The 16,776-nt window shown below is 44.7% G+C and overlaps 1 protein-coding gene across 17 annotated transcripts in view, besides 5 other annotated features; it reads right to left on the reverse strand.

Moving 5' to 3' along the window:
* Positions 3,702–4,423: an enhancer, noted in NCBI's record as "H3K27ac-H3K4me1 hESC enhancer chr12:131271649-131272370 (GRCh37/hg19 assembly coordinates)". NCBI's record gives its function as "activates a minimal SCP1, AML or CMV promoter by ChIP-STARR-seq in naive H9 embryonic stem cells {active_cell/tissue: H9 hESC(naive)}" and the evidence as "EXISTENCE:reporter gene assay evidence [ECO:0000049][PMID:30033119]".
* Positions 4,424–5,145: an enhancer, noted in NCBI's record as "H3K27ac-H3K4me1 hESC enhancer chr12:131272371-131273092 (GRCh37/hg19 assembly coordinates)". NCBI's record gives its function as "activates a minimal SCP1, AML or CMV promoter by ChIP-STARR-seq in naive H9 embryonic stem cells {active_cell/tissue: H9 hESC(naive)}" and the evidence as "EXISTENCE:reporter gene assay evidence [ECO:0000049][PMID:30033119]".
* Positions 4,722–5,016: a silencer, noted in NCBI's record as "tiled region #786; K562 Repressive non-DNase unmatched - State 15:Elon". NCBI's record gives its function as "represses a minimal TATA promoter and a strong SV40 promoter by Sharpr-MPRA in K562 cells {active_cell/tissue: K562}" and the evidence as "EXISTENCE:reporter gene assay evidence [ECO:0000049][PMID:27701403]".
* The window catches only part of STX2 (syntaxin 2), a 49,651-nt gene continuing 39,072 nt past the window's right edge, over positions 6,198–16,776 (reverse strand). For 5 of the 17 annotated variants that reach the window (NM_001413773.1, NM_001980.5, NM_001351051.2 and 2 more), the window contains 2 exons: positions 15,123–15,233; positions 6,198–8,575 (listed from right to left, as the gene is read on the reverse strand). In NM_001413773.1, coding sequence (NP_001400702.1) covers positions 8,498–8,575; positions 15,123–15,233 — 189 coding nt within the window. In that variant the 3' untranslated portion in view covers positions 6,198–8,497. Of the gene's footprint in view, positions 8,576–12,592; positions 12,719–14,357; positions 14,513–14,987; positions 15,234–15,765; positions 15,789–16,776 lie in introns of those variants that run through there. The other 12 variants (XM_047428491.1, XM_017018983.3, XM_017018984.2 and 9 more) reach the window with 7 other exon arrangements.
* Positions 9,822–10,116: an enhancer, noted in NCBI's record as "tiled region #967; K562 Activating non-DNase unmatched - State 17:Gen3'". NCBI's record gives its function as "activates a minimal TATA promoter and a strong SV40 promoter by Sharpr-MPRA in K562 cells {active_cell/tissue: K562}" and the evidence as "EXISTENCE:reporter gene assay evidence [ECO:0000049][PMID:27701403]".
* Positions 13,746–13,915: an enhancer, noted in NCBI's record as "active region_7346". NCBI's record gives its function as "activates an Ori minimal core promoter by ATAC-STARR-seq in GM12878 lymphoblastoid cells {active_cell/tissue: GM12878}" and the evidence as "EXISTENCE:reporter gene assay evidence [ECO:0000049][PMID:35858748]".

Here is a 16,776-nt window from a genome sequence, read left to right on the forward strand (position 1 = left end):
AGAATATTCGGAGGCCAGGGAAGGTGGGTCTCTTCCTGGTGGGAACTGTGGTCAGGCAGTGACCAAGCCCGGGGCGTGGGTCCAAAGCAAGCTGGCAGTGAAGGCGCGCCCTCCGCCCCTCCTGCTGCTTGTTCTTCCCACCGCAGAGCCTCAGGAATCCGAGCGCAGATGAGGGGTGGATGCGGCCCTCAGGCCTGGCACCTGGGCACAAAGCAAGAGGAGGCTGAGGGTGGCGGGAAAGGGGATACAGATAGAGAAGAACAGGCTCACGCCTACTCCCTCATCGACCATGGGGGTACAGGAGAAAGTAAGGGCCTAGGCGGACTCAAAAACAGGCTCCCCTCTGAAGACGCTCCCCACCCTCACACAGGTGCATCAGCAGAGGCTCAAGGGCATGCAGCTCAACCTCTGTCAGCTATTGGCTGACCGCTGACATATGTAGACAAGGGGACAACCCCTGGGAAGCAGACGTAAAATAGAAACAATAAATTTAAAAACTGATGAGGGACATCAACGCCTACGTACCAGAGACAGGTTTCACAGGTTGAGCCTGGGCAAGTTACCAACGAAGAAAGGAATTAAAAATGAACAATCAAAAACGCAGCAACAACAATCATCTTCGCGGATCCAATTCCAAAATTACTACATTACTAAAAACATCCAGCTTTAAACAAATGATACATGCAAAGAAACATGAAAGTGGAACTCATCCATGAAAGCATAAAAAAGCAGCGAATAGAAACTCTCTCTCCGTGTCTCCAGGTTTCTGATTTAGCAAAGACTTCAAAGCAGCTGTTATAAACAGGATCAAAGAACTAAAGAAGACCAGGTGTGGTGGCTCACGCTTGTACTCACAACATTTCGGGAGACCAAGGTAGGAAAGTCACTTGAGCCCAGGAGTTGGAGGCCAGCCTAGGTAACATAACAAGACCCCATCTCTAAAAAACATTTTTAAAATGATGGCTCATGCCTGTAATCCCACCACTTTGGGAGGCTGAAGCGGGAGGATCACATGAGCCCAGGAGTTCGAGACTAGCCTGGGCAACATGGCAAAACTCTGTCTCTACAAAAAGCATTTTAAAAATAGCCAGGCATGGTGGCATGCACCTGTGGTCCCAGCTACTTGGAAGGCTAAGGTTGGGGGAGTGGGGATCATCTGAGCCCAGGGAGGTTGAGGCTGCAGTGAGAGTGATTGGGCCACTGTACTCCAGCCTGGGTAACAGAGTGCGACCTTGTCTTGGAAACAAAAAGAAACTTAATTTTAAAAAGAACTAATAACGCTTAATAGTTTAAGGTAGCAGGTAAAAAAATTAAAATACAAAGAACTAAAGAAAACTATATTTACATAATTAAAATAATAATAAATCAACAAATAGAGATTCTCAACTATGCAGAAATTATTTTTTAAAAGGAGCCAAACTAAAATTCTAGAGTTGAAAAGTAATCACCAAAATGAAAACACTCACTAAAAGAGTTCAACAGTAGACCCAAGAAGGTACAGGAATGAATCTGTGAACTCGAAGTTAGATCAGCACAGGTTACCCATTATTAAGAAAAGACAGAAAAAACACTGAAGAAAAACAAACAGAACCTCAGAGACATATAGGCCAGCATCCAACATCCCAGAATACACACAGTGGGAGTGGCAGGAGGAAAGAAAACAAAGACGCAGAAAAAGCATTTCAGCAAATAGTGGCCCAGAGCTTCCAAAATGTGATGAAAAACAGAATATGCAGATATCTACACCTAAACTTCTAAAAGACAAGACAAAATCTTGACAGCAGCAAGAGAAAAATGACTGATCACATATAAAGGAGCATCAATATGATTAACAGCCAAATTCATGCATGAGACAGAGGAGGCTGGAGAGTGGTAGTATAAGATCCTCAAGGGCTGAAAGAAAAAAAAAACTGTAAACCAAGAATTCAATATCCAGCAAAACTATCCTTCCGAACTGAAGGTGAAATTGAGAAATTCCCAGATGAAAAAAAGACAGAGAATGCGTTGCTAACAGACTTGCTTTACAAGAGATACCAAAGGAAGTCCTTGAGGCTGGAAGAAAACTACTCTAGAGAGTGATCCAAGCCTGCAGGTAGAAATGAAGAGCACCAGAAATGGTCACTATGTTAACATAAAACACTCTGCAAATATACGTTCTCCTTTATTTTCTTAACTTCTTTAAAAGATATAAGATTGCATAAGACAATAACTTTATCCAGAATATATAAAGAACTCTTAAAATTCAAAAATAAGCCAGGTACAGTGGCTTACACCTATTATCCCAACACTTTAGGAGGCTGGGGTAGGAGGATCACTTGAGCCCTGGAGTTCAAGACAGCCTGGGCAACATAGTGAGACCCTATCTCTACAAAAAAATTTAAAAATAGCCAGACATGGTGCCACGCACCTGTAGTCCCAACTACTCAGGAGGCTGAGGTGGGAGGATCGCTTGAGCCCAGAAGGTCGAGGTTGCAGTGAGCCATGACTGTGCCACTACACTCCAGCCTGGGTAACACAGCAGGACCCTGTCTCAAAAAAAAAAAAAAAAAAAAAAAATTAAATAAAACTCAAAAATAAGACAGCCAAATTTAAAATGTGCAAAAGATTTGAGTTAATATCTTACTTTAAAAGATCTATGAATGGCTAATAAACACATGAAAAGATGTCAACATTGTTCATCAGTAGGAAAATGCAAATGAAAACCAAAGTGAGACACCACTCCACACCCACTAGCACAGATAGGTTTAAAAACATAACACAATACCAAGAGTTGGTGAGGATGTGGAGAAACTGGAATCCTTATACATTCCCTTTTACTTGGAAGTAAAATGACACAGCATTTGGAAAGTTCAGTTGTTCCTTAAAATGTTAAACATAAATTTACATATGACCCAGTATTTCTATTCCCAGAAAGCTACTAAGGAAAATGAAAACATAAGTCCATATAAATATATGTACACAGATGTTCATAGTAGCATTATTCATCATAGTAAAACTGGCGGCCAGGCGCGGTGGCTCACGCCTGTAATCCCAGCACTTTGGAAGTCCGAGGCGGGCGGATCACGAGGTCAGAAGATCAAGACCATCCTGGCTAACACGGTGAAACCCCGTCTCTACCAAAAATACAAAAAAATAGCCTGGCGTGGTCCCAGGTACTTGGGAGGCTGAGGCAGGAGAATGGTGTGAACCTGGGAGGTGGAGCTTGCAGTGAGCCGAGATCACGCCACTGTACTCCAGCCTGGGCGACAGAGCGAGACTCCGTCTCAAAATAAAATAAAATAAAATAAAATAAAAGGCAACAGTTCCATGTCCGTGAGGTGGCAAAGGGACAAAGTGTCCCCCTACAATAAAGGACGCTCAGCAGCAAAAGGGGACCGACTACCCACGCATGCTTCAAAGGGACAGCCTCGGTGACGCTGCGAGTGAAAGAAGCCAGATGCAGAAGACTCTCATACCTGACCCTACTTTCATGAAACGTCCAAAAGACAAACTGATGGAGAGAAAGCATCGCCGGGGGTGGCCTAGCGCCGGGGTGGGAGCTGGGATTAACAGCAAATGGGCGTAACGGTAGTTTTGGGGTGATGGAAATGTTCCCAAAAAAGAGGGTTGTGGTTACACAATTCTATTAATTACTAAAATCATATAATTACACAGTTATGATGGATGAATGTATGGTAGATTATACCTCAGTAAAGCACTTTTTCAAACACGACGAAGGAATGGCAGACAATACTTCCCTCCAGGCCTGCTGCTGGCCTGCCAGAGAAAGAGGCCCTCCCTCCCCACACTGGGCCGGCCACCCGCGCCCAGGGCAGGGATCTACACTTGAGTGTTTCCGCGTCTGGGTCCTAATTCCTAGTGGGAGCACGGAAGGACACAGGGAATGTTGGGAGCTGCATGGGCCATGTCTTGGTCCCATGGGACCTGGCCCTACTTGACCCGAGGCCACACCAGCTTGTAGACATGAGCTTTTGGGGGGGCTTTGAGTCCTAAGAGACCCAGCTGCCCACGCCACACAGGGGGAAAGGAAGCAGCTGGAGAGTCCGCTGCCCACACCACCCCGGGCTCCACGGCCTCACCCCCAGGCCGTCACAGAGCTCCAGTCTCCCGCCACTTCAGTGCAACCCTCGCTGTCTGCCCACTCCTCCGGACATGACGCTTAGGACCTTACCTTGCTCTCCAGCTCAGAGCCCGGCCCCCATGGCCGGGCCAGACCTGCCCCGGCCTCTCCCCTCCGCCTGAGCCACGCCCCGGCTTCCTGCTCACCAGGCCTGCGTTAGCATCTGCAGCTGTGCTTCTTCAGGCCGCCGCAACACCAGCCTTCCCGCACTGCTCCAAGACACTGAGCCTGGTGCATGCTCAGGAAATTCAACAATTTCAAAACATTGTCACTCTCCCCGCCTGACGACCAGCCTTGTACTCTACTCACAGGGCAACCTGCTTTAGCAAACTCAACGACACATTAAAAAGTACAATTTGCAAAGGAGAGCTACCACCTGGCTGGGTGTTCTGCGCCTAGAGACTGGGCCCCGGGAGAGCGCTCCACAGTGAACTTGCGAAGGATGGAATTTACATAAAGAAGGCACCGTCTTTAGTCCTGGAAAGGCACCCTGGGATTCTCTACCTCCGTCCGTCTTTTTCACAGGCAGGGAACTGAGGTCCCAGGAGGCCCAGGTCACCCCACCCAAGGAGGCAGGGCCTCCCCTGCACTCTCTGGAACCTCTCCCTGCCAAGAAGCCAGAGGCCCTGTTTTCTCAGGCTTAGGAATCTGCACTCTCTTGTTCAAAGACTGTGAGTCAGAAGAGGAGGGCCAAGTGCCGCCTTGAATTTCTCTTACTGCTCAAATGGAAAACAATGAAACAGGGCTGTCCACATCACAGCCTGCCACCTGCCAGTCATTTAGAGCCTGGCGCGCATTTCCATAGCTCCTCTGACGCCAGGACAATCAGACCCGTCTCCGGAGGGCTCCTGCCTCTGGATGTCTAAATGTTCTTGCCTTAAACCCGGTGTGACGCTCCACCCCTCCCACACCGCACACATACGAATTTTAACAAAATCTTCAAAGCAGAACTTAACAAAAGGTTGCGTGGTACCAGGTCCATTTGGTTCCATGTGAAACCAACTAGGAAGATCCGCATTAGGCTCTTCCTCAGCTGCGCCGAGGGCCTGGTTTCTATTCATTTGAGAAGCTGTGTGCGCCCCTGTATGGTCTGTTCTTTCCTTTAGGGCTCGCTTTTAACAGTGAGTGTTGTTGTGGCAACTAAAATAAGGAGCCGGCCAGTGCTCCTAGGGAGGAAAACCTCGGCAACTCCGCAGGTGCAGGCACCGGCCACAGACCCACGCCTGGGGCACTCGCGTTTGCATTAGCAGAGCGCAGGAGTCAGGGAGCGCGGGCAGGGGCGGGAGGAGGGGTCTGCGCACTGGCCACGGTGTGGGGGACCCAGCCCTACCCCTTCCCGGGGCTGAGTGGGACTCGCCACGAGGCCAGCAGTTTTTCCAGGTTTTTCTGCTACTCTAGTGGACATGCAACCTTTCCAGTTTGAATTCCACCTCGGTTTAATCCACTTTTTAAACTCATGAAAGGATGTGAGTGTAGATTTGCTGAAGACATTCATAAAAAGTCATTTAGGCAATAAATACTATAGGATTACAGTGTCTTTAAAAAGTATAAATAAATTATTGACTGTACACGTCAAGACTGATTTGGAAGGAAATTCATTCTGGGAGAAATAGAGAAATAGATTAAAATTAACATCTAGGGCTCTGTCTCCATGAATTAGTTTTCTCCAGTTCTATCTTCTCTTTTTTTTCAATAGTGGTTTTCAACTGTCACTTTCCAATATGATCAGAATTCAGTTGAGGAAGTAAAGAAATTCTACTTAATAAGAAAAACTCTGAATGAGGATTAAGTATAGAGGATAACTCAGAACATAGTGGGGGGCGGGGAGATCCCCCCATTAACAAATGGAATGTGTCAAATTGACAAAAGAATTCAAACAGAGTGACTTTGAGATAGAGCCCAAATTCACTGACTTGGTATCTGTTAGAAACAGCAAGAATTCCAGCAAGTCCCTTAATACATGGTACTGACAACTGAGCCGTGAACCACAGAAGCTTGTAATATACACTAATCATCAACAAATCACCAAATACTCCAAAAATTACATCATGACACACAGTAACAGCCACAAGAGCAATTTTCCTAGTAGAACAATTTATTAATTAATATGCAATAAAATATCTCCCCAAAATCTTTCCAGAAATGACAAGGCAGGAAAGTGAATACTTTTATGCTTCTCTGGAAATTTTTAATGTAAACATGAAATATTTGAAGAACCGATTAAAAAGTCTCAAGTGAATCTGTAAATACATTTTTAAGTCTGACTTCAAATCGGTACATGAGGCTTAGACATACACATCATTGGACAAGTGACTTAAATATCTAAATACAAATCAAATAGCATTTTCCTAACTTCAACTATAAAAACACAAATTTCAGTAGGTACTGCAAATCTAAGAAGAATAACTTGAAAAATACCATAATAAGTGTTGTAAAAGGGGAGGACTCATATGACAGACCTTGAAGGAAAGGTGGGACATCACGGGAGGCAGGTCCCCCTGTGGACATGATTCCACAGAGGCGTGGAGTCCTTTTGCCACCAGCATGATCCTGAAATATTGAAAACCCTCAAGACAAGTGATACCTTCAACATAGCCACAAATCAGTGAGCACATCCCACGACAGGGTGTTTAAAGACCAAAAGAAAAAGAACAGTCAGAGGCAGAATTCCCCTAGTAACTGCCACACAGTGACCACCAGCGAGTGATCCAATGGACGCATCATGGATGAGGGAGATTCGGAATTGTGTTAAGTAAGGGACGCGGCTTCTGAGCCATTCAATATTCTCCACACCTGTTTGGAATCAGGCATCTCTACATTAGTTTCAAACCAAATGGTGTTAAAAGTCACATGCTTACACTACTACATACAGGAGTAACAAGAGTTCACGACATTTGGGGCATCCTGCATGCACTCCTTTAACATTCTGACTAGTGACTCTCTTAACAGATGTCCGCTCACCAGTTCATACATTTTACAAGTCTAAAAATAAGTGATATTCTTCTACTAAAAAAATGAGCAATAAAAAGGTTTAATTATCATGAATCCCTATACATTTTGGAAATTAACTTTTAAAAGTTCAGCAAAACATTAGGTACTTAACAACATGTATGTGGATCTGTACAATAGTTTAAATTTGTAAGAATTACTCCATGTCTCAGGAATAATTTCCTCGAGTCCCGAGAGTACTGAACCTCAGTTTCATCACCGTCTTAAATTCAGACTTCATTCATGTAAACTGGGAAACTCGAATCTCCTATTTAGTGAAAAGAGACCACGGTCTTTACAGTGCAGTAACCATTCATTATCCTGGGGGAGGGAACAGGCGGAAACGGAGCTGAGGCCGAGGCTTTTCTGGAGGGCACCAGCACATTTAAACTCACAGAAGGCACTTGAGGGCTTTGAGGGGCTTTGCAGCCAATGTTTTCCGTGACAATGGGAAACTTTAAACAACTGTACAAAGGTGGCTCCAACACCATGAAGCTTCCTATTTCACTCAAAAGGCCACATTCAGTATATAAAAATGGGGTACATTAAGATGCTAATAAATTAAACAATTTATAAACATTTAAAATTATAGATATCTTACAAAAACGTGATAAAAATTATTTCTTCAAACAGGCAATAAAACAGTATAAAAGGTCTCTTAATTAGCACAAACTAGCTGGGAGAGGGAGGGAAAGGAAGCCTTAGACCTGAGATCTAAAAGCTTCAGAACAGCCTGCCCGGTGACTCACGCCTGTAATCCCAGCACTTTGGGAGGCTGAGGTGGGTGGATCACAAGGTCAGGAGTTTGAGGCCAGCCTGGCCAGCATGGTAAAACCCCGTCTCTACTAAAAAGAAAACACAAAAAATTAGCTGGGTGTGGTGGCCCATGCCTGTAATCCCAGCTACTCGGGAGGCTGAGGCAGGAGAATTGCTTGAACCCGGGAGGCCGAGGTTGCAGTGAGCTGAGATCGCACCACTGCACTCCAGCCTGGATGACAAAGCGAGACTCCGTCTCAAAAAAAAAAAAAAAAGCCTTCATAACATAAAGCATTCCTTCCTAATTAAACTTCATGCACATTTGTTAACACTGAAATATTTTTAATATTAAAATGTTCAATATTTTCTTATTTCAAGGCCAGTGAGAGAAGTCTCACACTGCTCACATTCTGTAGTGTGTCATTCAGGGTCACGCATCACACCCACTGTGCTTACGGCGCTGTCACTGAACAAGACGTTCGGTTGTGCTTCTTCCGTGAACTCATACATTACAAGGTCAGCACTCGATGCCGGGTTACAGCGTCTGAGATTCATTCACGAAATGACAGGATGCTGATTTGGTTGCAGATGTGGTCTGAGTCTCAAGGATAAATGGCTCTTGGGATATGGTTGCTAGGACAATGTTGTTGCTAGGATAATTCCAAGGATCACAAGCAAAACAATTACACAAATAATAATGAACATCAATTTCTGCAAGATAAAGAAAAACATTAATTTGCAATGTATCAAAGAAATCAACAATGGCATTTGCTAACTAATCCTTCTGGGATTTGGGATAGTTTAAAAAATACATCCATTATCAAGAAAGGACTCCTCCATGTCATAGAAAAGAATGTGATCTTGGCTCACAGCAACCTCTGCCTTCCGGGTTCAAGTGATTCTCCTGCCTCAGCCTCCCGAGTAGCTGGGACTACAGGAACCCGCCACCACGCCCAGCTAATTTTTGTATTTTTAGTAGACACGGGGTTTCAGCATGTTGGCCAGGATAGTCTCGATCTCTTGACTTCGTGATCCACCCGCCTCAGCCTCCCAAAATGCTGGGATTACAGGCGTGAGGCACCAGGCCCGGCCGACACTTTCTTTTAATCATAATAAAACTCCAGGATTGCTTTTAATTGGATGAATTACACATATTTGTAAAACTTTAAACGAATTTCTTGTTGGCTGAAAAATCCTATTTTTTCTTTCTTTTCTGAAAGGAGGTGTCACTCTGTCGCCCAGGCTGGAGAGCAGTGGTGCAGACATGGCTCACTGCAAACACATCCTCCTGGACTCAAGCAATCCTCCCACCTCAGTGTCCCAAGGAGCTAGGATGACAGGCATGCACCACCATGCCCAGCTAATTAAAAAATATGTTTTTAAGAGATGGGGTCTTGCTATGTTGCCCAGACTAGTCTCGAATTCTTGGGCTCAAGCGATCTTCCTGCCTTGGCCTTCCGAAGTGTTGGGATTACAGGCATGAGCCACTGCACCTGGCCTTATCCATTTTTTACATTTAAATATGACAAATGTGTAAGAAATCAACAAGACATTCATTCATTCTTCTACTGCACTGATGGTCTGGAAGCAGGGTGCGACACAGCATTTAACTTTTTTAAAATTAACAAGTATCCTCACACAAGGCAAAGCGAGACCACCTTTGGCTTAATAAATGGAGTCTCCTCCAGGAAGCTTGTCTGAGGGAAGGAAAGGAAGACACAACAGGAGGCACCGCGCTGTAGGACTTTGAGTTCTCTTTTTGAACAGCAGAGATCCATCATTTTAATTACAGTTCCAAATGTACGAGTGCTTTTACCTAAGAAATCCTGTTTGCTGAGCCTGGACAGTTCCAAGACTGCCGGCTCAGTCAGTTATACAGGGTTATCAAGAGGCGCATGGCAGGCCCCGGTGAGCCTCCCAGTGACTCCTCAGGACCGGGGAGAGCTGCCTGCAGGAGGGCCCCTCCCTCAAACTCTGGTTCCCTGTTAACATCACGCACATTTCCTGCAAAGCCCCAGCCACTCTCTCATCCTCTATATGCGCTCCTACGCCCCACTCTCAGCACCTTCCTAGAGAAACCTCTTCTTCCTTTTCTCTGTGATGCCTTCCCTCCCTCCAGAGGGAGGCGCGCGCCCTCCCGCTCAGCAAGTGAGTGTGCTGGCAGCTGGGCCACCTGGAGTCAGCTCCACGCAGCGTGCTCTCATCTCCTGCTGCTGTTGTGCTGCCTGCCACGTGTCTGGGTGCTCGATGTGTGTGCACTTTCCTGCCACATCTGGCTTTCAGGATGACTGTCAACTACATGGAGTCTAGGGTACAGGACTCAGGAGTCATCTAATCTCCTGGTGACAGCGAGAGTGGAAAGGGTACACCCTGGGGAGTCCAGCTCCAGGTCTGGGCCAGGGCCCTCTCACCGAATACCTGTAAGACTCCACCTGTCTCCTTAAAGCAGCCCATCCCACCCATGCTCCGGGGTGACAGGCCTGCACCTGGCACACCCTGCAGGGAGGGGCAGCAGCCAGCCCCAGGAAGGCCAATTGCTAAAGGATGAAAGGCTATGTTAATATTTTAAAAGTGAAGTTAAGGACATTAACCACTGCCTTCCTATGCAAAGATAACTGCTGGTATTCATTTTGGTCTGCTTTTTATGAATGAGGATCCTTCTATGTTCATTCTTATTTACAGACACTAGGGTGAAATGGCCAGCCAGGCCCGGGGCACAGGACTTCAAGCCCCACTCCCCAGGGGTCACACTGAGAGGAGCCTTCTTTTAGTCAACCTTAATGCCAAGTAGTGCCCATGAAAAGTCGCGCATTTCACTGTGTCCGCGCTACAAATTGTAATTTTATCTTTAGTGTAACCACATTAAACTAACCATATTATAGCTACTAGGAAAAAACTCAGAAAGTACATGTTAGAATCATGAAAATATTGAAAAATACTACTATAACAATGAAGAAAAATCACGTACAATATTTTCAGCAAAGCTAAGAAGAAAAAAATAGAACATCTTGCCTAATAAACATCCTACACAAACATCCTGCCTAATAAAAATAGACGGTAAGAGAGTTCTGACTGCCAAATAATGGAATGTTAACACACGCAGCATCCCAGAGCTCCTTACAGAGTAATTTCAGGTGTAATTTTGTGGCTTTTGCATAAATGTCAGAAGACTAACTGGAAAACTTCTCATCTGGTAACTGCATGGTGAGCGTAACAGATGCTCACATTAAGATATCAATCTCTTGTTTTGAGATGGTCTCGCTCTGTCACCCAGGCTGGAGTGCCGTGGTGCGATCTAGACTCACTCTAGCCTCGACCTCCCCAGGCTCAGGTGATCCTCCTGCCTCGGCCTCTGGCGTAGCTGGGACTATAGGCACGTGTGCCACCATGCCCAATTAGTTTTTGGATTTTTTTTTTTCTGTAGAGACAGGGTGTTGCCATGTTGAAGGAATAAATCTTAAAGATTACAAAGCAATAGTGAGACTTAACCATGCTCGTGATTCCTTTCTGCTGTATGTTAACTTTTTAAAAAGCCTTGGGTGACTATCAAGTCTGCAGTCACTTCCATAACCCAAGAATAAATTCATTGGGGATGACTTGCCACACTCTAGACACCTGGGAACAGTTCACAACTGTCTAATACAAGAATTGTGCCAAACATTTACAGAGAAATCACTGCTGTGTCCACCTGTAACACACCGACAGCATTGCCACTTCAGGGCCAGTGCAAGGATGGCTCCCAATGCAGAAGAAAACCAGGGGGAAACCACAAAGCCTGCTGAAGTTTAGGAAAGGTGACACTCACACCTTGATTCTTTAAATAAACTGATACCTTTTATATTCAGAATTCTTTAAGAATTAACAGGCATGCTAACTAAATATAATACGTAATTTTCCTTTTAATATTAAAGGAAATATTTTTAAATAAAATAGATGCTGCCTATAGAAAGGTCGAAGGATGTTCCTTTCAGTCAATGTTTTTCTCAGCGTTCATCCATGCCCTCGATTCCATAGTAAAATGATGCGTTAGTGTATTTTATAAAGTACCTTTCAGTGTTGCAATTACTCTAAAAGCTAAAACTCAGGAGACAAAACATTACAACTGAGAATTAATCTTCACTGAATTTCTATGACATTTAATGAAGGATCCACTACATGTAAAGAGCTAATGGTCTTAGATCAAAAACAAAAGATTCAGGCTGAGTACAGTGGCTCATGTCTATGTATAATCCCAGCACTTTGGGAGGCTGAGGGCCAGGAATTCGAGACCAGCCTGGGCAATACAGAGAGTTCTCGTCTCTACTAAAAATAATTTTTTTAAAAATTAGCCGAGTGTGCTGGTGCACGTCTGTAGTCCCAGCTACTCGGGAGGCTGAGGTAGGAGGACAGTTTTAGCCCAGGAGGTCGAGGCTGCAGTGAGCCATGATCACGCCACTGCATTCCAGCCTGGGTGACACAGCTAGACCCTGTCTCAAAAACACTTTTAAAAACGGGATAAGAAGGTGACCTTGGTTTAAAAATGAGTTACCGCCCAGCCTGTGCTTGTTCTCAGTAAACACAGTGGCTGGGCACTCGAATCAGCACACAGGCAGATGTATCACTAGATGGCATTATCTGTACTGCGTGGCTGGCAAGCTTTTATTAGTTTTATGTCTATTACAATTAAGCAAATACTATTATTGGTTAATTGCAAAAGTTAATAAGTAAATTAGTTGATGAGTTACTTACTCCCACCCTGGCAGAGAGGCATGCACACTGACGTTATCCACACCATCATTTGCCAACTGACAAGCCAATAATTAGAGCGATTATGGCAACCAGAACCACTGACACAGCAATAATTATCCACTTTTTCTGTCAAAGAAAAGCAAGCTGATTATATCATGCATGGTTAATTTCATATTGCCACATTAAAAGACATCCTTCATTTAAAATAAAACGACCTGGCCAGGTGTGGTGGCTCACGCCTGTAATCTCAGCACTTTGGGAGTCCGAGGCGGATGGATCACCTGAGGTCAGGAGTTTGAGACCAGCCTGGCCAACATGGCGAAACCCTGTCTCTACTAAAAATACAAAAACCAGCCGGGCGTGGGTCTGCAATCCCAGCTACTCAGGAGGCTGTGGCAGGAGAATCACTTGAACCCAGGAGGCAGAGGTTGCAGAGAGCCAGGATCGTGTCACTGCACTCCAGCCTGGGCAACAGAGCAAGACTCCATCTCAAAAAAATAAAATAAAATAAAGCAAAACAACCCATCAGAACTCACTTTAGAAGCTAAGTTACAGGACACTGCTTAATACTGTTGGGCGACTTCTTGAGAGAGTGACTTAATAAGGTCAGACTACTTGGCGATAAGCTGCTATGTAACTGTTATTTCAGGTTTCATCCATGGGGACAGCACGACCAAGTCATTTTGCCACATTTCTGATGACTGAGACATGCAGTTAGTTTTCCGCATGTACAGAGGTGCGGGCCTGCTAGCTCAGTGACGGAGAGCCCCACTGCCTCGTCATGAAGCCCCGACACACTCAGTACTTGGCCTTTCGCTCCTTCTTTTATGTTCTTGGCAGTTACTTCTTCACTGCTCCTGACATAGCACACAGAAAAAAAAAACCCTTCTACAAACGTTGCCTGGCCTCCCTCTGAGGGCCACATGGCTCCGCGGGAATAAATGCAGGACACTAGGAGTGGGGACGACCCACACCTGAGCCAGGGGCAGCAGCAAAGCATTTGAGCGGCAAGGGGACAGGGAGACAAGCCAGGAGGGTTCCATTAGCAGGCATCTCATCAAAAAGACAGTGTCATTTCTGAAACAGGCATCACGTCTCTGACGAGTTTATACGCCAGCTACCGCACAGACCCCAAGCACCTCACAGAGCCAGGCTTGCTCATCCACAGAGGAGAATGAAAACGTATCACACCCACCACCTTCCCCCTTTGTAAAACCAACGAACTTTCACTATCGTTTTCACCAGACTGACGTGTTCAGGTCATGGAGAAAAGGAACAGGACTGCCTGTTTTTAATGAAAGCTGACTTAGGCCTGGAACTAAGTTAAGCACTTTATACAGGTATCTCTTCACCTCAGTTTACATTAGGGGCCAATTTTTTCAAAGCAATAAATGAAATAACATGAGAAACCATGTCTGGCATTTCAGAGATGACGAGCATACTTAGACATACCCAGGAAAAGCGGAGGGTGTGCCCTGGCGGCTGAGCCTGCAGCCCGGGGGTGTGAGTGAGGGTGTGCCCTGGCGGCTGAGCCTGCAGCCCGGGGGTGCGTCTCAGGGCCATCGCCTGGAGGTGCATCCACACACACCGTCTCACTCCATTTTTTCCTAACACGGTGAAAATCAGCATCTCTGTGTATTAGCACAAGGAGGTGACAATGTGAAAAACCCATAATCTCTCCAGTGTCAGGGGCACTATCATAAAATGCCTAAGTTAGGAGAGTAAGTTTTAAATTTTTGCCCCGTAACAAAAAAATCACACAGGGTTCCCTGAACCCTTTTTAATGCAAAGTCTGTGCATCTTGAGTGAAAGGGGTTCCCTTCTTTTGAGGATCCCTTTAAGTGGGTGCTACCTAAGACTGCAGGTCCACGGTCTCAAATAATTCTCTTCTTTCCTCCAAACCAAGAAGTCACGAATAACCTAAATTAAAAATAAATGTTCACTGCATCAAATGTGTAGCCAACAATTTGGTGCCAGGCACCGTGCCTCACGCCTGTAATCCCAGCACTTTGGAAGGCCGAGATGGGCGGATCACTTGAGGTCACGAGTTCAAGACCAGCCTGGCCAACATGGTGAAACCCTCTCTCTACTGAAAATACAAAATTAGCCTGGCATGGTGGCGGGTGCCTGTAATCCCTGCTACTCAGGAGACTGAGGCAGGAGAATCACTTGAACCCGGGAGGTGGAGGTTGCAGTGAGCCAAGATCACTCCATTGCACTCTACTAGCCTGGGCAACAAGAGCGAAACTCCAATTCAAAAAAAAAAAAAAAAAAGTGCTGGGATTACAGGCGTGCCACCACACCCAGCCCTAGGGTTTCAATTACTTAGAACACAAAAGATGAACTACAAATAATTCATCTAATAAACCTTTTAAATTTTTAGCAAAAAAAATTATTTCCATTTTAAAATAAAACATTTATTAATTAATTATTTCTTGGAATACCTTTTAGGCAGGCTTACATCAATGTATTACAACTTGAAACCAAATGAAGAGAAAAACGCAGCTTAATTCTTCGAAGCCAAACTCACCCTTCTTGCCTTGCTCTGATATTTGATAGCTTTTTTTGTTTCTTCTTTAGCGTGTTCTACATAGTCTGTGGCATTCATAACATTTCTTTCTATGTTGTTGATCATTTCACCCTTAAAACAAAAAGTTTCAAACTTAGAAGACATTTTCAAATGGCTTAATCATGTATCTTTAAGACAACCATAGAACAAAGGTTTTATATAAACACGATGTGCATGTAATGGATACTGAGGGTTTTTTTCACATTTACAGAAAGATAAAAGATGAGGCCATTATACATGTGCCAGTGCAAAGCAATCAAAACTCAATTTATATTTTAAAAAGAATGAAAAGGAATGGGCCACCATGTTGATAATTAAAGGCACCTCAAGTCAATTCTGAGATACCTTTAACACGCAGACACTTTCGACAGATGGGCAGGGTGAAGGGAGGCAGCCAGCTTTTGGTTGAACTAGTATTTTACCATTATGCACAGACAGACAATATACAAAGAATGACATCTTTTCCACAAAGTAGAAAATTGTAACTACTTCTTTAAATCAGTAAACTGAGCATAGCTCACATCTGACACTCAGCTGACTACATTAATGAGCAAAATGTAAACAGAGGTGAATTCAGCAAAGTGTGAGGGAGGTAACGTATTACCTGGTTGTCTGTCCAGACACAACCTGCAGCAGTGAATCGTAAAGCATTGAAGAATGACGGAGAGTTAACTCACTCAGTCACAAACTTCAACTTACTAGTAATCTCTGACTATGCACACATTTGCATTAGATGAGTCAATATAATGCAATACCAACAGACTTCTAAAAGGAAACAGTGAAACAAAGCCAGGGATGCAGCCATTTTTCTAACGGAGCTTAATGCAATGCATTTGGTATAGAGCAATTACAATTGAAGTCTAAGGTACTACAAAAGCTTTAGTAATTACAGAAATCATCTCTCGTTCTTTCTGTCCAGCTGGTTTCCTTTGGAATGCTTCCTGGAAATAAGTAACCAATGGTAATCAGACTCCCCACACTCCACTTACCATATAATGAATGGCAACGGGGCCCCCAAAATCAAAAAGGAGTAAGATCGTCCCATCCCTGCCCTCTGTGTAGCTGTTGGTTTCCTCTAGCAAATGCTTATACATACAAACATTAGCCGGGCGTAGTGGTGCAAACCTGTGGTCCCAGCTACTCGGGAGGCTGAGGTAGGAGAACTGCTTGAGCCCAGGAGGCAGAGGTTGCAGTGAGCCAAGATTGTACCACTGCACTCCAACCTGGGCAACAGAGCAAGACCCTGTCTCAAAAAAAAAAAAAAAAATAGGCATGGTGCCTGAGTTTTTCACACACATTCTCATTATAAAGTTCTTCAAAATACAGTGTTTCTTAACAAGGTTGCTGAAGCAGGCAGGAACAATCCTGTGTGTGGATGGATTCCTATCCTTACACAATCCAGGCAGTCTCAGAAAATAAGCCCATCAGATGTGAACCTACTTAGGGGATGACTCCAGCCAAAACAGATCCGAAACCAGGCTCAGGACAAGTGAGGAAACCATTTACTTAGGATGGTTTGATATAAATGCTTCCGCTTCACCTGGTGGTCAGCTGAATCCTAACCAGCAACAGAGTCTTATCTCCATGGTATTTGAAAAATAACGAGAAGACCTTA

The sequence above is a fragment of the Homo sapiens genome, chromosome 12 (genome assembly GCF_000001405.40).
Source record: "Homo sapiens chromosome 12, GRCh38.p14 Primary Assembly".
In the NCBI taxonomy this organism is placed as follows: domain Eukaryota; kingdom Metazoa; phylum Chordata; class Mammalia; order Primates; family Hominidae; genus Homo; species Homo sapiens.